General features: G+C 40.1%; 1 protein-coding gene across 14 annotated transcripts in view; it reads right to left on the bottom strand.

Annotated features, from left to right (window-relative positions):
• Positions 1-21286, bottom strand: part of DPP6 (dipeptidyl peptidase like 6) — a 1146153-nt gene that overhangs the window by 418206 nt on the left and 706661 nt on the right. For all 14 annotated transcript variants that reach the window (NR_157195.2, NR_157196.2, XM_047419951.1 and 11 more), the window contains one exon: positions 1043-1141. Coding sequence is in view for 12 of the 14 variants with exons in the window: in XM_047419951.1 (XP_047275907.1) it covers positions 1043-1141 (99 nt within the window). In the remaining 2 variants the exon portion in view is untranslated. The remainder of the gene's footprint in view (positions 1-1042; positions 1142-21286) is intronic.

The raw sequence follows: 21286 nt of genomic DNA, 5'->3' as shown, positions 1-21286 counted from the left end.
AGAGTTTGTGAAGCATGAAAAGCATTTTAGAAGCAGTTTGACAGAAAAACATACAACGACACTCGATCACTCAGCAAAAGAGGATGGTGGGAAGAGCACTGAATTGGAAGTCAGGGGACGGGCTGCTAGCCACAGCTCGCACTCATCAGCTCTGTGACCTCAGAAAAGTCACTTGACCTCTCTGGACCTCATTTATTATAAAAGCAAGGATCTGAACTAGACTTTGATCACTATAAAGTTCTCTGGCCTGAGGATAAACCTTCAAGTGTATTCCACTGAAGCAAAGATGAAATGTAAGCAACAGCAATGGAGGCAACAGGGAGGTGCTGGCAACTTGGCCTGTGGAGGGATGGGTACATCTTCCATGGATGCACTTGAATTATTTCAGACCCAATTAGAAGAAATAGATTATGTTATGAACCAACACAGGCATTGTGAACATATGCCTTCTGCCCCCAACTGTATTTTGTTCTGTTGTTTTAAAAAAAAAATCCCCCATACAAGGAAAGTAGATTTAATCCAAATTAAAGTTCAACAGGGAAAATAAATGAATCTGCATCTGTGTACAGCACTCCAAGTTTCATTTGGAAGCTATTCTACAAGAACTCCATGAGTTGCTTTTGGTCCTTCTGCCTAACGGAAAGAGAGCAAGAGAACAAAGGGGAATGAAGATTGTGGAGAAGGAAGGAAAGCTCACCGTGCCCTGCACTGTTCCTGTTGCTAAGCAACACCCCACAGCTCCCCCGGAGAAATGATGTCTCTGGGAGGTGGCACACAAAGGACACGTCTTCAGCAGACCCATTTCTCATTAAGTGAAGGCTGTGTGGATGCTCGGGAGGCAACACCATTACAAAAGCCTGATTTTACCAGATACACATTTTCATAGAATGATAATCTGATGATGACTACAGCAAAAGCTCTGTAGATCCCCTTCTGTGGCCAAAGGGGGAAATCCGAGAGGCAAATTACTAGACCCAACCTATTGAAAGTGGGGGTGAGGCATGGGGAAGCGATGTCTTGTGCACGAAGGACCTGGACTCACCACTTATCCACTTAGCCTCGGGGTCATGAATTTTGAAGTCTTCACTGAAGAGATCTTCTACAGTGACCTTCTTCTTTTGAGACAGACTATTATCTTCCGCTAGAAAAAAATAAAAAGCAAAGAGTTAAGCTTGTTTCATAATTAGTAAAATGAGAGGACCATAAACATTCTGATTGTCATTTATAAATAGTATGGATGGGAACACACATGACGTCCATAAGTGAATGGGGATAAAAGCCAGTCTTGCATTCTGTTTTTAATTAAACTATCAAAACCTATGCTAAGGAAATCATGATTCAGTAGAACGGCATCACGCCTTCTCACCCACACCTGCAGCATGTAAGTGATCATATTTCTCAGCACAGAGGTAAATAATTCTTTCAGGATTGATTTATGAACAATAGGGTGGGAATAGTCGAGAGGAAGATACGGATATCCAGAATGGACCTCAGTCATATGATGTAATTGGTCAATCATGAAGCATTCATTAAGTGCAGCATTTTAGCTGCTGAGAATTCAAAGACACAGAAAATATTCCTTAGGTCTTCATTCTCCATAAGCTTCACTTGTCCCTGGCTGTCTCTGGGTTGTGGGTTAGTTCTTGCTCAGACAGGATCAAACCCCAATTATCTGTACACAGACTACCAGATTCTGCCTTGCCGCATCTCTGTTACAAGGCTTAGGAGAAAGCACTTGGGATAAGCCTGTGAACACACTCAGCTAATGTTCATCCCAAGATGAGATGTTTAGTTAATGGCGTCAGTGGGTGAGACTTTAAAAATCTGAGAGCTTTTATCCTGTATTTCCAGAGATCAAAGCTTCTAGAGTTTTTGCTCCTCCTCAGAAGAGGCTCTCTCCATTAGAGGCACAAAAATCCACTTATTGACTTTGAAAAGACACAGGGCTGTCAGCATGCCTGACCTGTGAGCCTACAGGCCAGTCCATTCCACCACCTTCACTTCTGTGATACTAATAAGAAACTCCTCTGTATATTGACTTGACCACATCTGATGGACATTATCTACCTAGGATGCTTATTTACTTCCCTGCCCTCTTAAATAGAAGATGCTAAATATCATTGCACATTTTTTTCAAAGACTCCCAGTTTTCTCATTTCAACAGTTTCCTGTTGTGCTGCTATGTGGGGTGATCTTGGTGCTAACTGAGGTGCATATGTCTGTGTGCATTCCACATTCAGTGGCTCTAGAGCTGTGTGTTTTTGTATTTCAATGTCTGGTGGTATGTCTGTTTCTTGTTTCAATTTCTGGCTGTTACGCTTTTTGGACTGTTGTTCTTGACCTTGACAGAACCATTTGCCTCTTTTAATTTTGTGTTTTAAACTCTGTGGCAGGTTAGAAAAACAGAAAGAAATTCTGTTAGGATTACATAAACAAATAGGAATAAATAATCTCTAAATAAAATTTTCAAAGCTTCTAGGACCCCAGTGCATTGCATGGGTTTTATTACGTCACTTTTGGTTTCTTCCTTTTGGGTCTGGTTGTTGACAAATTACTGAAATTGTCAGAAAAGTCATGTATTCCTTTGTGCATTGACTGATCTCTTGAATATCAAATAGGGTTACTGTGTGTAGCAGTCTTTTGAAAATTACAGAATGCTGTGACTCAAGGTGGCCTTATTGTGAAACATGACTGTATATGGAGCTATCCCGGGCGCTGAACATAGTGCATTAAACCAAACCAAGTTCTTTCTTCGCTCTAGGAGCTTTCTAGGTGTGGCTGAAGCAGCCTCAGGAAAAGGCACATGGCTTCAAACATGACACACTTCCATATACACGACAATAAATGAGAATTTTAAAAATTACTAGACATTAATCTAATAAAGTTACACTCTGATCTTGCAATTAAGAAGTCTAAAACTTCCTGAGACATTCTTAAGTACGTGGTCAGAAAATAATAATCATGTTGAAATTTACATTTTATCTGATTAAACTTCACTATTCAAGAATGATTCTAGCCATGCAACTTAAGGTATCTATGTGCCTCATAAGAAAAAACATGTAAGACTGCCATTTAAACAAACGTTGGAAATAAAAGATGAAAAGGCAATGTATTCACTTTCTGAAAATCTTTCTTTCTATACATGTATTTTATTTTAAAAACTGTAATTTTATTTGTTTTTTAAAGGTATTTTTAAAACACTTAAGACTTCTATATAGGGAAAGTATGTGGTGGAGGCATTATGATATATGCTATCAAAATTGCTCCATTCAAGCCAGGACATGACTCTGTCCTTAATTAGCTCTGTCTCCTTAAGAAACTCACTGCTGGCCTCTCTGTACCTAGATGGCTCATTTGCACATTCAACTGATATCTAATTCATTGGTTTATCATTTGATTCATTCCCAAAATCATCTGAGATAATGACAGGCACAGGAGACTGCCACATTCCACAAACCATGCTGAGCCCTGAAGAAGAGAAAGGCCTTATACAAGCTCACAGAGCAGTGGAACCAAAGCAGAATGAATGATCAGAACATAGCAGGGACGGGGCTGAGAGGAACAGGGCTTGTCCTGCTAATATGGAAGCAGACTATTAAATAAGAAAGTGGGAGGGATTGATTCCAGGAGGACTTGCTGAAGGAAAGAGGCTGCTAGCCAAGATAAAGGAGAGAGAAAAACATTCAAGCTAGGAAGGCTCATAAGGGCAGAAAGTTGTCGGTGGATGCAGTATTTTCAAGAGATTGTGTGTGTTGGCATTGGCGTGGCAGACAATGTGAACAGGAAATCCTAGAGGGGAAGGGAGATTCTCTCATTGTATTTGATATTCTGAAATTCCATTAGAAAAAATGTCCACTTGTGGATTTTCTTTAAAAATTCTGCTTAACAGTCAGTAATATTTTCAGCTTAAAGACTATTTTTCTTCACATCAGGAATACTACCAGTAATTATCTCATACAATATGGCTCCTGCAGCATTTGATCCCCTCCTTCCAGAATCCCATCTGGACTGTGCTGGAGCTTCTAGGTCAATCCCCACACCTCGGGCTTTTTCTTAAGTTTTTCCTTTTTGACTTTGGGAGTATTTGGATGATTTCTTCAGTTCAATCTCCTACTTGTCAATATTTTAATACACCTAGACTGTTCTATTACCCAACTAAGGATTTAAATTTAAAATAATTACATTTTAATATCTAATATATCTAAATAACTTTTTTCAAGATCATCTACTCATATTTTATAGTTTCATGCTTCTTTAGCATAGTGATAGTTATTTCAAAAATCTAAAATGTCATTTTCTCTTTTCCCTATTGATTTAAATTTCTTTGGATTTTGGTTTTCATGTGTGTTGGGTTGGTTTCTGCTTTATGGGGGGATGTTTTCTGAAGATGCTTTGTGGTTCTTGGTTGTAAGCTTCTGTCTTACAAGTGTTCTGGGTCTTGAGAGGCCCCTGGTTGGGTGGTCCTCAGGCAGTTTTGAGATTCTGTCTAGGTAACAGCTCTAAACTAAGTCTTGGTGGTCATTTAGGCTGGAGCCCTTTCCCCCAAATGGGTGATGTGATCTGAGGCCTTCTGACCATGAACCCAGTTTTCAGGCAGGGACTCCATGTACCCCTGGTCTCTCATGAAAACCAACCTTCCAAGCCCTCCTGTTGTGCCTGACTTCAGTCTCTATGACTTGAGGATGATGGAAATTTGGCCTTCCCTCCTGCCATAGGTTTTTACCTGTTCCTTCTTATGAGGATGTCTTCCCTTTCAATCCAGGTATGTGAAGAACTCCTGTTCTTGTTTTTGAGAAAGAAGCAGCTATGCTTTTGTTTGTTTGTTTTTTGAGACGGAGTCTTGCTCTGTCACCCAGGCGGGAGTGTGGTGGCGCAATCTTGGCTCACTGCAACCTCCGCCTCCAACATTCAAACGATTCTCCTGCCTCAGCCTCCCGAGTAGCTGGGATCACAGGCACCTGCCACCGAGCCCGGCTAATTTTTGTATTTCTAGTAGAGACAGGGTTTCACTATATTGGCCAGGCTGGTCTCGAACTCCTGACCTCAGGTGATCCGCCCACCTCAGCCTCCCAAAGTGCTGGGATTACAGGTGTGAGCTACCATGCCCGGCTGCAGCTGTGTTTTTCGTTATTTATTTTGCTGTCACTTCCACATGCTTTTGCCATCAAAACAAGGAACATTTCTGTGCTCAATCTTCCTTCTTAAACTGGAAGGCAACATAAAGGTGGCGATGCAAGAAGGGGCAGTGGCTTTCACTGTTTGGATTTCATCCCAAAGGCAATTCAGGGATCACTGAAAAATAAAGTTCCTTCCAGCCCTTTAGCTTGATATACTATAGAAAACTCCATGGCACTTCAAATTGACTTGGCCTGGTTAGCTCACCAGCATGTAAAGGCATGCTGAAATCTGCAGTGATGTAGTTACTCTTTACGGTGGCCAATGTGTAATGCAAATTTCTCAGCCTCCTTTCCCTTCCTCAGATATTTGTTAAATAGTAAAATTCCTGGAGAACCATTTGGAACTCCTTCTCTAAATATTTTAAATACCAGAAAACTAGAAATAAATCCCATCACCCGAGCATAGCTGCTGGAGGGGCATGCAATCCCTGCAGGTAGAGGTAAGCTACTGACAAACTCAGCTTGGTAACAAAGAAAATCTACCCAGAAGAGTCCAAGACTTTCTGTGAGATTCTGCTTTTGTGAGCAATTTGGAATAACTGACAACTCTAAAGTGCTTTATAGTCTTCCGAGTGCAATGATATTTATTATCTCTCCTGATCCCCACCATAATGAGGAGGAAGGAAAGTTACATTGAGCTACTGAGCTGCTGAGAGGTGAAATGACTCCTCCAAAGATGTGTGAGGAATCGGTTGGCAGATGTCAAGCACTAGGTGTTTTCAAAACTCAAAGGAGACAAGGGTTATGGAGGGCTAGCTTCACAGGGGAGACAGACCCCCAAGCTGAGGCTCAGAGTAAAGCAGTCTTTGTATTTAGAACAATTTGTATGTTATTCCTACAAAATGGATACTATTTGTTTGCTTCCTTACCAACACTTCACAAAAACAGGTGGAAATCAAAGAAGCTGTCCATTTTCCAACGTCGGTACCATTAATTCACAAATTCCAATGAGATCACTTTTGCTTAAAAATAAACCACTGCAGCCTGTTCCGTCAGCGATGGACCTAACACAGATGCTGCTTAGTAACAAGGAAAAAGCTCAATGAGAATGCAGGAAACACATCATTTAGTTCTGCCAGCATATTTATTGATTGAGTGCCCTGAGTCAGGCACTGCAGATGCTTGAACAAGACTTCCAATTATATTTCTTTCTTTTTTCTTAAAGTAAAAGAGGTAGAATCCATGCTATGTGTTGCAGGTGCTACTCCTATTTCCTCGGTAGATTCTTATCATAATGAAAGAATAAATTTATATCATGCTGTACCATCAAGAGATTAGAAACAATGAAATTTAAAACCAGGTAGCACGTCTGCAAATCACCATATGAACCTTGGGGATTTTGACCTATTCCTGAATTAAACTGTCCCACTGGCAGATTGTTCACCATATGAATCCATAGGTCAGAGCTGAGATGGTAACATCTCATCCATACACAAAAACCCTAGAGACGGAAGGAAGCCGTGGCAGCAGCTGTGAGTCAGGGGAACACTCTCTCTCTTTACAAAAGTGAGATTTACTCAAAATACACAAAAACATATTTCTCTGAAGAAATCTCTCTAGAGTCATCCAACCCCAAATGTAAGAAACAAAATAACTATTGTTGGGATGAGAATTGCATTAAATAATCTTACCTGAGTGATGCTAGAGGAGCTACAAGAAAATGTACAGTCAGTACCTCTTTACAATGTGTGTGTGTGTGTTTTACTTTCTCAAAGTTGATCATGCTTTCTTTTCTGCTACCAGGAGCTACTATCAATGAACTAGTTATTTGCTTTCAAGTCTATTTCCCATACTAGCTTGATATTTTCCTTTTCTGTTTTAGTTAGGAATCGCAACTTCATGTCTCTAAGGGGCCCAGCAAACAGATGTTCAGTTCATTTCTTTTGAATGAAGAGAGCATTTGTTTTAAAAATCTGTGCCTTTGCTTGTATTTTCGCTTACTTTTTTGTAATGCAGTCTTTGTGTTACTAAAGTATATTATTTATGGTTATACTCCAGACTTATGTCTATAAAAAGTCTCACAGAGATACTAATTTATCTTAAAAGCTTCTCCTTACAAATTCACATGTCTTCAAATAGTCTAAGAAAACTAGTAGCATAACATCAAAATTAGTCACATAATACTTTTTATTGAAATGGTAGAAACTAAGTCATCAGCATTATTCAGCACATCTTATGAACTAAGAAATTGTAGTTATGCTTTATTTTAAGCTTCTAAATCAAATACATCAAAGGTATACATTCCCTCTTCATGTCCTTACCTCCATTCTTTTAGATCCAGGAAATAAACTGAAACCTTAAAATATATTCAGCAGCCTGTTTTCTTTAGTGAGTTACCGCATTAGGCACCTGTGACTTCACATGATTATATGCGGATAGGTTGATATGTTTCCCTACCTAGTTTATTCCTTTCTTGACACCTTTATTAGAGATAAAATTCACATACCATAAAACTTAGCCATTTAAAGTCTACAACACAATGGTTTTAGTATGTTCAGAGTTGTGCACCATTACTGACCTAAATTTGGAACATTTTTATTACCCCCAAAAGATTAGCATAACAATTAGCAGCCACTCTCTATTCTCCCACATCTCTCTTCAGCTCTTCGCAACCAAAAATCTTCTTTCTGTCTCTAAACATTTGGCTATTCTGGACATTTAATGTAGATGGAATCATACAATATGCATTTTGTTGTGACTGGCTTATTTCAGATAGTATTGTGTTTTCAAAGTTCATCCATGTTGTAATACGTACAGAATGTACCACTACTTCATTCCTTTTTATAGATGAATAATATTACAAGCTAATGATGTTGAGCATCTTTTCATGCACTGACTGGTTATTTTTATATCTTCTTTGGAGAAATGTGTCACTTTATTCAGATTATAAAAAATGCTGAAATTAAGAGATTCACTGTCGAGAAAGATACTGCCATCCTGAGAGCATGGCTGAAAAACCTTTGCTAATACCTTGAAAGATCAAAAGGTAAGTATTCAGTCACACAAAAGGCCCTTTGAAGAGCTTAAATGTGTGATTCACAGACCCCAAACCTCTCTCAGCAGAAGGCAAACATAGAGATGAAAGTATCTAGAAGAATCCTAGGAAGAGCCACTTGTCTAATGGAATGAATTCCCATGACATACATAGAAGATCCGCAGATTCTTAAGAATTTATATCTGTAGAAACATTGCCAGCTTGGACTGAAAAGGAGAGAGGGAGTATGAAACAAATAAAGGCTGTTGGACGCTGTATTAGCCCATTCTCACACTGCTGTAAAGAACTACCTGAGACTGGGTAATTTATAATGAAACGAGGTTTAATTGACTCACAGTTCTGCATGGCTGGGGAGGCCTCAGGAAACTTACAATCATGGTAGAAGGAAAAGGGGAAGCAAGCACCCTTTGTGACATGGTGACAGGAGAGAAAGAAAGCAAAGAGGGAGGTGCTACGCACTTTTAAACAACCAGATCTTGTGAGAACTCTATCACAAGACAGCACTAGGGGGATGGTGCTGAACCATTAGAAACCAGCCCCATGATCCAATCACCTCCCACCAGCCTCTCATTCAACACGTTAGGATTACAATTTGACATGAGATTTGGGTGGGAACACAGAGCCAAACCATATCAGACCCCCAAAATTCTCAGGCAGAAAACATGCTTATAAAACTACTCAGCTACAATCTCAAGCTGCCATTCATGAAGAAGAAAGATGACTCCCAGAGGGCAGACCTGAGAGCCCTAGGATACTATTCCCAAGCCTATAAACCTAATGCAGTTTCCCCAACTGAATTTAGAAGTTGTTTGGAACTAGTGACTCCTTTTTCTCCCTTTTTGAACAAGAATGTCTATAACTGTCATCCTATACCCGTCCCACTACTGTGTTTACCTCTCCAGTTTCTCAGAGCCACAGTACAGATGAATTGTGCTTTGGGTGGAGTATGCCCTGAGGCCTACTCAAAACTCATTCAGATGATTTCAGTGTTAAAATTTGGGAGTTCTGAACTGATGAGATCACAGACTTTGAGTTGATACTATAATAGGTTGAGATTTCTGGGGACCTTGGGGTAGAGTGAATGAATGTGCTTTATATATGAGAAGGATGTGAATCTTTGCGGGTCAGAGAACAGACTGTGTTAGGTAAGACAGGGCCATCCCAAAGACGTCCACGTGCACTGGTATTATGTACTGAATTGTACGTACCAACAAATCCATATGTTGACACCCTAACCCCCAATGTGATTCTATTTGGAGATAGCGCCTTTAAGGAAGAAACTGAAGTTAAATGAGATCAGAGGGTGAAGCTCTAATCTGGTAGGACTACTGTACTTAAAAAAGAGGAAGAGAAACAAGAGCTCTATTTTCCTCTCTTCAGGCACACATATGTGCACTCACAGAGAAAAAGCAGGGAGAGGATACAGCAAGAAGGTGCGGTCTGCAGGCCAGGAAGGGAGACTTCACCATAAACCAACCCTGCTGACACCTTGATCTTGGACTTCCAGCCTCCAGAAGTGTGAGAAATGAAATTCTGCATTTATTTATTTTTTTAGTACACTTTAAGTTCTGGGATACATGTGCAGAATGTGCAGGTGTGTTATATAGGTATACATGTGCCATGGTGGTTTGCCACACCCATCAACCCATCATCTACATTAGATATTTCTCCTAATGCTATCCCTTCCCTTGCCCCCCACCCCTCGACAGGCCCCAGTGTGTGATGTTCCCCTCCCTGTGCCCATATGTTCTCCTTGTTCAACTCCCACTTATGAGTGAGAACATGCAGTATTTGTTTTCTTGTTCCTGTGTTAGTTTGCTGAGAATGATAGTTTACAGCTTCATCCATGTCCCTGCAAAGGACATGAACTCATTTTTTTTATGACTGCATAGTATTCCATGGTATATATGTGCCACATTTTTTTATCCAGTCTAACATTGATGGGCATTTGGGTTGGTTCCAAGTCTTTGCTATTGTGAATAGTCCTGCAATAAACATACAAGTGCATGTGTCCTTATAGTAGAATGATTTATAACCCTTTGGGTATATACCCAGTAATGGGATGGCTGGGTCAAATGGTATTTCTAGTTCTAGATCCTTGAGGAATCAACACACTGTCTTCCATAATGGTTGAACTCATTTACATTCCCACCAACAGTGCAAAAGTGTTCCTATTTCTCCACATCCTCTCCAGAATCTGTTGTTTCCTGACTTTTTAATAATCATCATTCTAACTGCAGTGAGATAGTATCTCATTGTGGTTTTGATTTGCATTTCTTTAATGACCTGTGATGATGAACTTTTTTTCATATGTTTCTTGGTCACATAAATGTCTTCTTTTGAAAAGTGTCTGTTCATATCCTTTGCCCACTTTTTGATAGAGTTGTTTTTTTCTTGTAAATTTGTTTAAGTTTTTTGTAGGTTCTGGATATTAGCCCTTTGTCAGATGGATAGATTGCAAAAATTTTCTCCCATTCTGTAGGTTGCCTGTTCACTCTTGAAGATAGTTTCTTTTGTTGTGCAGAAGCTCTTTAGTTTAATTAGATCCCACTTGCCAATTTTGGCTTTTGTTGCATTTCTGTTTTCTAAATCACCCAGTCTGCATATTTTGTTGACAGCTCAAGCTGACTAATAAAATTTGTATTTTCAAAAATTTTTCAACTGTGTGTTGCTAGTACATAGAAATGCAATTAATATGTGTAAATAGACCTTGCATTCTGTAACCTTTCTAAACTTACTTACAGTAGGCCCCTCCTTACCCATGGTTTTGCTTTCCACAGTTTCAGTTACCATCAGTTGACCATGGTCTAGAAATATTGAGATTATTTTGAAAGAGAGTGAGAGATAACACATTCATGTAACTTTTGTTACAGTATATTGGTATAATTTTTCTCCTTTATTTCTAGTTATCATTATTAATTTCTGACTGCACCTAATTTATAAGTTAAATTTTATCGTAGGTATACATGTGCAATAAAACCCCATAGTATAAGTAGGATTCAGCACTATCCATGGTTTCAGGCATCCACTGGGGTTCTTGGAATGGATACTCTGTAGATAAGGGGAACTACTATACATATATTATTTTGGCATATTTTGTGCAGGCATTCATTTTGTCTGTAACAAGGACAGTTTATTTCAAGTAGAAATAATCCAATAAAATTATTGAGAAAACCCAATTTATTTAAGTAAGTCATGGTCCCAATATCAATAGACCAATTGTAACTATTAATGAATTTTAAGAAAAGTCCACTTGACTGGAATGCCTCAAGAAAAGTTGTTCAGTTACACAGGATTATATATTTTTTCCTCTCTCTATGGCTTCAGATTTACAACAGAAATATTTGTTTAAGTATAAAATTGTGAATTTTGAAAGGAGGCAGAGCAAGATGGCCAAATAAAAGCCTTCACTGATCATCCTCTCTATAGGAACACCAATTGAACAACTATTCACAGGAAAAAGCAGCTCGTAAAGAACCAAAAATCAGATTAATGATCACAGTATCTGGTTTTGACTTCATATCACTGAAGTAGCACTGAAGAGAGTGGGAAAGACAGTCTTGAGTTTCCCCTTCCTCATCCCCTGGCAGCAGTTGTGTGGCAGAGAATCTGCTTGCTTGGGGCAGGGAGAATGCAGTGACTGTGGGACTTTGCATTGAAACTCAGTGTTGCTTTGTCACAGAGTAAAGCAACGCTAGGCAGAACTCAGTCAATTCCCACGGACGGAGCACTGAGACCAGCCCTAGCCATTCGGGAACTGCATATCCCAGCAGTGGGAACCTGAGCTCCAGCAAGCCTCACCACTGTGGGCTAAAGTGGTCTGGGGTCCTAAAATAACTTGAAAGGCAGTCTAGGCCGCAAGAACTGCAATTCCTGCGCAAGTCTTGGTGCTGTTCTTGGCTCAGAGCCAGTACACTTGGGGGACACACAACCTAGTGAGACAGCAGCTGGGGTGGCCAAGGGAGTGCTTGCATCACCTCTTCACAAACCCAAGGCAGCACAGCTTGCAGCTCTAGGAGAGACTCTTTCCCTCTGCTTGAGGAGAGGAGAGGGAAGAGAAAAGAGGAAATTGTCTTGCAACTTGGATACCAGCTCAGCCACAGTAGAATAGAGCACCAGGAAGAGTCATGAGGCCCTCATTCCAGGTCCTAGCTCTGGGATGACATTTCTAAACATACCCTGTGCCTGCCTTGAATGGAAAAACCCAATCTGGCAGGATTCCTCACCTGCTGACTAAGGAGCCCTTGGGCCCTAAATAATCAGTAGCAGTGGTACTCAGGCAGTACTTGCTCAGGGTCTTGGGTAAGACTCAGAGACAGGCTGGCTTCAGGTGTGACCCAGGACATTCCCAGCTGTGGGGCTACAGGGAGAGACTTCTTCTGCTTAAGAAAAGGAGAAGTAGGCTGGGCGCGGTGGCTCACGCCTGTAATCCCAGCACTTTGGGAGGCCGAGACGGGCGGATCACGAGGTCAGGAGATCGAGACCATCCTGGCTAACACGGTGAAACCCCGTCTCTACTAAAAACACAAAAAATTAGCCGGGCGTGGTGGCGCGCGCCTGTAGTCCCAGCTACACGGGAGGCTGAGGCAGGAGAATGGCGTGAACCCGGGAGGCGGAGCTTGCAGTGAGTCGAGATCGTGCCACTGCACTCCAGCCTGGGCGACAGAGCGAGACTCCGTCTCAAAAAAAAAAAAAAAAAAAAAAAAAAAAAAGAAAAGGAGAAGTAAAGGTAAAAAGCACTTTGTGTTGCAACTTAGGTACCAGCTCAGCCACAAAGCGGCAGGGTACTAAGTGGGCTCTTGGGGTCCCCAATTCTAGGCCTTGGTTCTTGGATGATATTTCTCGACCTGCCCATATTATCCTTGTTTGCAGATAATATGATCTTATATTTGGAAAAACCTAAGGATTTCACTAAAAAAAATTAGAACTGATAAAAAAATTCAGCAAAGTTGCAGGTTACAAAAATCAACCTACAAAAATCAGTAGTATTTCTATATGCCAGCAGTGAACAATCTGAAAACACTCATAGGTGGGAATTGAACAATGAGAGCACATGGACACAGGAAGGGGAACATCACACACCGGGGACTGTTGTGGGGTGGGGGGAGGGGGGAGGGATAGCGTTAGGAGATATACCTAATGCTAAATGACGGGTTGATGGGTGCAACACACCAGCATGGCACATGTATACATATGTAACAAACCTGCACGTTGTGCACATGTACCCTAAAACTTAAAGTATAATAATAATAAAATTTAAAAAAAGAAAGTAATTCAATTTATAATCACTGCAAATAAAATAAAATACCCAGGAATTAACCTTACTAAAGAAGTAAAAGATCTCTACAATGAAAACTATAAAAGATTGATGAAAGAAATGGAAGCAGACATAAAAAATAAAAATATATTCTATGTTAATGGATTATAAGAATCAATATTGTTAAAATTTCCATACTATCTAAAGCAGTCTACAGGTTCAATGAAATCTCTATCAAAATACTGATGACATTCTTCACAAAAATAGAAATAACTATCCTAAAATTTACATGGAATCACAAAAGATCCACAATAACCAAAGTTATTCTAAGTAAAATGAACAAAACTGGATGAATCATATTATCTGACTTCAAATTATACTACAGAACTATAGTAATCCAAACAGCATGGTACTGGCATAAAAACAGACACATAGAGCAATGGAACAGAATAGAGAACCTAGAAACAAATCCATATACCTACAGTGAACTCATCTTCAGCAAAATTGCCAAGAACATATATTGGGGAAAGGACAGTCTCTTCAATAAATGTTGAAGGGAAAACTGGATATCCATATGCAGGAGAATAAAACTAGACCCTTCCCTCTCACCATATACAAAAATCAAATCAAAATGGATTAAAGGACTACATGTAAGACCTCAAACAATGAAACTACTTAAAAAAAAATTGGGGAAACTCTCCAGGACACTGTACTAGGTAAAAATTTCTTGAGTAATACCCTATTTAGCAAAGGCAACCAAAGCAAAAATGGACAATTGGAATCACATTGAGTTAAAATGCACAGCAAAGGAAACAATCAACAAAGTTAAAAGACAACCCACAGAATGGAGTAAATATTTGCAAACTATCCATCTGACAAGGGATTAACAAGCAGAATATATATGGAGCTCAAACAACTCTATAGGAAAACATCTAATAATCCAATTAAAAATGGGCAAAAGATCTGAGTAGACATTTCTCAAAAGAAGACATACAAATGGTAAACAGGTATATGAAAAGGTGCTCAACATCATTGATCATCAGAAAAATGCAAATCAAAGCTATAATGAGACACCATCTCACCCCAGTTAAAAAGGCTCATATCCAAAAGACATTCAATAACAAATGCTGACAATGATATGCAGAAAAGGAAACCCTCATACACTGTTGATAAAAATGCAAATTAGTACAACCACCATGGAGAAGAGTTTGGAAGTTCCTCAGAAAACTAAAAACAGAGTTACCATATGATCCAGTAATCCCAGTGCTAGGTATGTACCCAAAAGAAAGGAAATCAGTGTATCAAACAGACACCTGCACTCCTTTGTTAGTTGCAGACCTGTTTACAATACCCAAGATTTGGAAGCAACCCTAGTGTCCATCAACAGATGAATGGATAAAGAAAATATGGTACGTATACACAATGGAGTACTATTCAGCCACAAAAAAATGAATGAGATTTGTCATTTGCAACAACATGAATGAAACTGGAGGTCATTATGTTAAGTGAAATAATCTAAGAAAGACAAACTTGGCACAGAAAGACATACTTGGCATGTTCTCATTTATTTGTGGGAGCCAAAAATTAAACAATTCATGGAGCTAGGGAGTAGAAAAATGGTTATCAGAGGTTGGGAAGGGTAGTGGTGGATGGTGGGGGTGGGCAGAGGGGGATGGTTAATGGGTACAAAAATAGAGTTAGAAAGAGTAAGATTTACTATTTGATAGCATAACAATGTGACTACAGTCAATAATACTTTATTATGCATTTTTAAATAACTAAAAGAGTATAATTGGATTGTTTGCAACACAAAGAAAGGACAAATGCTTAAGGGGATGGATACTCTATTTACCCTGGTGTGTTTATCATTTCATGCATGCCTGTATCAAAATGTGTCATGTGTCCCATAAATATACATACCTACTATGTACCCACAGAAATTAAAAATTAAAAAATGAAATAGTGAATGTTGTAAATGTGTTTTTGATTTTAAAAACCAACTTATTATTTGATGAGAGATTTTATTAAAGTGAAAAAAATATTGCAAATATTACTTAAAGGGAAGAGAAAGAGTAGGAAGCTGGGATTGAGAAGAAAGTCTTTTAAGCATGCTTCTTTCCCATATTATCTAGTGACAAGTCAAGAGGCGCATTTAGAATCAATGGAACAAGAAATTTATACATGAAAAAATTTTCCCACGTGGTTATGAAACACATCTATAGAGGACTTGAAATAGCATTATAGGTTTTGTAACTCAGAGTGAAGAGACGGAAGTGGGAGAAAATGTAAAGCAGCTAAATTTTGACCTTCGTAGTCGGTAGTCTGTGGACATTGACATATCAGCATGATATTAAAAAGTACATGAATAAGGCCAGGCACGGTGGCTCATGCCTATAATCCCAGCACTTTGGGAGGCCAAGGCGGGTGGATCACCTGAGGTCAGGAGTTCAAGACTAGCCTGGCCAACATCGCGAAACCCCGTCTCTATTAAAAATACAAAAGTTAGCCAGGTGTGGTGGTACACGTCTGTAATACCAGCTACCTGGGAGGCTGAGGCAGGAGAATCACTTGAATCCAGGAGGCAGAGGTTGTGGTGAGCTAGGATCATGCCATTGCACTCCAGCCTGGATGACAGAATGAGACTCTGTCTCAAAAAAAAAAAAAAAAAAAAAAAAAGCACATGAATAAATATCAGAAGACTTAAATCAGAAATGGTGGAAAGTGACAGTATCTAGGGACTGGTTGTAGAACTGACAGTATGAGAAAATAATTATAAAAGGATTATTATTGTTCATTTAATATTTCTTTTCTTTTCTTTTTCTTTTCTTTTTTTTTTTTTTTTTTTGAGATGGAATCTCACTCTGTCACCCAGGCTGGAGTGCAGTGGTATGATCTCGGCTCAGCCTCCCGGATTCAAGCAATTCTCCTGCCTCAGCCTCCCAAGTAGCTGGGATTACAGGCACGCGCCATGACGCCTGTCTAATTTTTGTATTTTTAGCAGATACGGAGACCAGGGTGGTCTCAAACACCTGACCTCAGGTGATCTGCCTGCCTCGGCCTCCCAAAGTGCTGAGATTACAGGATGAGCCACCATGCCCAGCCAATTTAATATATTTCTACTGTTTTTCTATTTATACATATTACTTGTTCAATAAAATTAATAAAATCATGTTCTGATCATAAACATATACTCATACCTGAATTGAGAGCCTGAATCGGTATGTGTCTTCATGATGTACCAACACCAAGGTCAGCTATTAATAATTTAACCTTCCCAAATGACTGGCTTGCTGTGTAAACACAGGTGTAGTGTGCTCCCAATAGGGAAATAATGGGTGGAACAATTCTTCACCCGATGCCTACGAGAATAGGCATGCTAAACCCAAAATACCTGTGACACGTAGCAAACACCTTTACACATTGTAAGGGGTTACTTAGTCTCAGAAATTATCATTATCTGTCACATACAATGTATATTTTTAATCTGAATTTCATTGGCTTCTTTTTTTTAATCTGCATTTCATCTCCCATCTCGACAAATTTAATAACATAGACTGTAAGTGGAGCTTAAATCTGTTTAATTGAATGTATGTAAAATAAGAAGAATTAAGTCAATACTGGAGATTCCTATTCCTCTTCCTCTCCTCTTCCTTCCTCTTTCTCTCAAATTTTGAAAAACATCAAAATACATCTCAATTTGAAAGAATTTCATTTCCTTTCTTTGTGGTGAAGATGGTAAAGAACCACCTTTTGAAACTCAGGGTTGTCCCCTAGAGAGCTGAGCTAGGAGCCCAGCATGGACTCCCATTGTGAATGGCAGGAAGGAGCAGACAGGGCAGTGCGTGGCACAGTTGTTGTCCAGTTCATGGTCTTCCAAGGGCTGGCACATGGCTTCTAAGCATTCTAGTTCTGATCTCTCCACAAGTGCATTCTTTTGCCTGCCTGTAAGACATGGCCACCGTAAAAGTGGCAATGCCATTTATCTCCCTTTATTTTAGCCTCCTGTGGCTGCTGTGACAAATGACCACAAACTTGATGGCTTCAAACAACAGAAGAGTATGCTCTCCCAGTTCTGGAGACTGGAAGTCTAAAATCAGCTTCACTGGGCCCAAATACAAGTGTCAGCAGGGCTGCACGCTCTTGGAGGTTCTGGGGAAGCATCTTGTATTAGTCCATTTTCATACTGCTATGAAGAAATACCTGAGACTGGGTAATTTATAAAGAAAAAGAGGTTTAATGAGCTCACAGTTCCACATGGCTGGGGAGGCCTCACAATCATGGTGGAAGGCAAAGGAGGAGCAAAGGCACATCTTACATGGCAGCAGGCAAGAGGGCATGTGCAGGGGAACTGCCTTTTATAAAACCATCAGGTCTCATGAGACTTATTCACTATCATGAGAATAGCACAAAAAACCCACCCCCATGATTCAATTACCTCCCACTGGGTCCCTCCCATGACATATGGGAATTATGGGAGCTACAATTCAAGATGAGATTTGGGTGAGGATACAGCCAAGCCATATCACATCTGTTCTTTGTCTCTTCCAGCCTCTGGGGGCTGCCAGTATTCCTGGGCTTGTGGCCACATCCCTCCCATCTCCACCTCTGTGGTCACTTTGCCATTTCCTCCTTCGTCTGTGTCAAATCTCCCTCTATTTCCTTCTTTTTTTTTTTTTTTATTATACTCTAAGTTTTAGGGTACATGTGCACATTGTGCAGGCTAGTTACATATGTATACATGTGCCATGCTGGTGCGCTGCACCCACTAATGTGTCATCTAGCATTAGGTATATCTCCCAATGCTATCCCTCCCCCCTCCCCCGACCCCACCACAGTCCCCAGAGTGTGATATTCCCCTTCCTGTGTCCATGTGATCTCATTGTTCAATTCCCACCTATGAGTGAGAATATGCGGTGTTTGGTTTTTTGTTCTTGCGATAGTTTACTGAGAATGATGGTTTCCAATTTCATCCATGTCCCTACAAAGGATATGAACTCATCATTTTTTATGGCTGCATAGTATTCCATGGTGTATATGTGCCACATTTTCTTAATCCAGTCTATCATTGTTGGACATTTGGGTTGGTTCCAAGTCTTTGCTATTGTGAATAGTGCCGCAATAAACATACGTGTGCATGTGTCTTTATAGCAGCATGATTTATAGTCCTTTGGGTATATACCCAGTAATGGGATGGCTGGGTCAAATGGTATTTCTAGTTCTAGATCCCTGAGGAATCGCCACACTGACTTCCACAATGGTTGAACTAGTTTACAGTCCCACCAACAGTGTAAAAGTGTTCCTATTTCTCCGCATCCTCTCCAGCACCTGTTGTTTCCTGACTTTTTAATGATTGCCATTCTAACTGGTGTGAGATGATATCTCATAGTGGTTTTGATTTGCATTTCTCTGATGGCCAGTGATGATGAGCATTTCTTCATGTGTTTTTTGGCTGCATAAATGTCTTCTTTTGAGAAGTGTCTGTTCATGTCCTTCGCCCACTTTTGACAAAATTCAACAACCCTTCATGCTAAAAACTCTCAATAAATTAGGTATTGATGGGACGTATTTCAAAATAATAAGAGCTATCTATGACAAACCCACAGCCAATATCATACTGAATGGGCAAAAACTGGAAGCATTCCCTTTGAAAACTGGCACAAGACAGGGATGCCCTCTCTCACCACTCCTATTCAACATAGTGTTGGAAGTTCTGGCCAGGGCAATCAGGCAGGAGAAGGAAATAAAGGGTATTCAATTAGGAAAAGAGGAAGTCAAATTGTCCCTGTTTGCAGACGACATGATTGTTTATCTAGAAAACCCCATCGTCTCAGCCCAAAATCTCCTTAAGCTGATAAGCAACTTCAGCAAAGTCTCAGGATACAAAATCAATGTACAAAAATCACAAGCATTCTTATTTCCTTCTTATAAGAACACATGTGATCACATTGAGGTTCCATTGGATAACTAAGGGTAATCCTCCATTTCAGATGCTTAATGTAGCCACAAAAGGCCCCCTTTTGGCCATAAAAGAAAACATTAACAGGATCCAAGGATTACAACTTGGACTTTTTTTTTGGTGGGGGGGGCGCATTTTTTAGCCTACCGCATCCTTCAAGGCCTTTCTCCCATTTCCAACCAACCCACCACTTTAGAAGGCATCCTCTGAGGCTGCAATGATCATACATTTACTGAATGAAAAAGAAAGACATGAAGAATCTGAGTAGGGGAAAAGCAAGAAAGAGACTGATTAAATGGGAGGTCCTGCAAATTATCACTTAACTGAACTTCTGGTGATTTTAATACCATACTTAAATGCACAGAGTCAATTTAGAATATCTGGGATTTGAGGATTATGAAGTAGCAATCTGAGAAAGTGCATGGATATACTGTTTCTGCAGAAGTGATCAATGGTTGTCCAAGCAGGGCTTAAGGTGAAGAGTTCAGAGAATTTGGAACCATTTCAATCTGGAATTTCATCTTCCTAGTTCCCCGACCTGCTTAGTTCATTTTACAGAATTGCTCTCCAGTTCTCCGATTTTATTATATCACAGCTTTCTGTGTTCCTGACCCTGACATGGTATGGTAACTCTGCTTAAACTCCTGAATTGCTGCCTTTGGTTCTGGACTGCCAGAGTCTTCACTAAACTAGCAACTAATATAGGAGCCAGCTGCTTGTAAAAATATGGTCCTTAAGGCCACCAAAATTAATTTGAAGCTGACCAGGAGGCACTCATCTATAGCAGGCAAGAGACTCCAGAGGAAACCAGGGTCCCAGCATAAGATTTACTCATTTTCATGGTTGCCTTTAAAATAGGATGCAAAATGCAGCAACACTTGAAAAGTGTCCATTTATAGATAAATATGTAGACCCATTTGCCTTAGCTTATAGTCTTAACACGAGTGTGAATAATAAGCATCTACTGCCATCCTTTAGAAAAATGGCTCTTTAGTGTAAGGACTCCATAAATAAGCGAGATGCACCTAGTAGTCCTTCTAGAATTAATGATGGGAAATCAAAAGAGAGACGGTTAAGATGGTCCCAGCGACCCACTTTTCAGTAGTTTGCAAGTTTGCAACTCACTATAGGGTTAGTAGCAATGTAACCTAATTATTTCTTCTATGAGAATCTGTCAGAACTCCCTCCTTTTGGAGGGAGAAGATTTGTTTCAATTTAAAGAATGACTCAAATTCACTGGTCATGTTCAAGGAATGTAGACCACATTCCTCAAGGATTTCACAAATCAAGGGGTCTTGCTCGTGGTGGTGGACACTGAAGGCTGCTTCCCCAAGAGCCAGTGCCTCTCTGCCTTCTTCTGACTCAGCAGAGCCTGACTCCTACAAATGGCGGGCTTTGCCAACCCCCTCCAGTGAAGGTAGCCATGCAATATGGTTACAGCAAATAAGCTGTCTCCTCGCAGCTCCGGGGAACCGAAAGGAACTACTCAGAAAACTATTTCCTCCATGACAGAGGAAGTGAGATGCACAAGCTAAGTTCTATGTGTCCATCCCTTCCTGTGCGTGTGGGCGAGTGAAGCATGAAGCCGTCACAACCATGTTGTCGACATACTGATGGCAGCAGAGAGATGGAGCCCACCTGGACTTTGACAATATCCACGAGCACTGAATCTGCCTTGGACTGGCTATGTCTAAACTTGTCTTGTGAAACAATACGGACACCTGCAATTGGAACAGTTTTAGTTGGCTGTTCTGTTACTCACAGACAAAAATATTTTGGCTGACAAACTTTAACACCTGGACCTTGGATAAACGCTCAAGCAGATCCCTGAGATGGCCCTGGGATGGACTGACTAGGTTTGCAAACGTTATATTAATACAACATATCCAAATGTTTATGTG

Source organism: Homo sapiens, chromosome 7, assembly GCF_000001405.40.
Source record: "Homo sapiens chromosome 7, GRCh38.p14 Primary Assembly".
Taxonomy (NCBI): Eukaryota; Metazoa; Chordata; class Mammalia; order Primates; family Hominidae; genus Homo; species Homo sapiens.
This window is presented reverse-complemented; position numbering and strand designations above follow the sequence as displayed.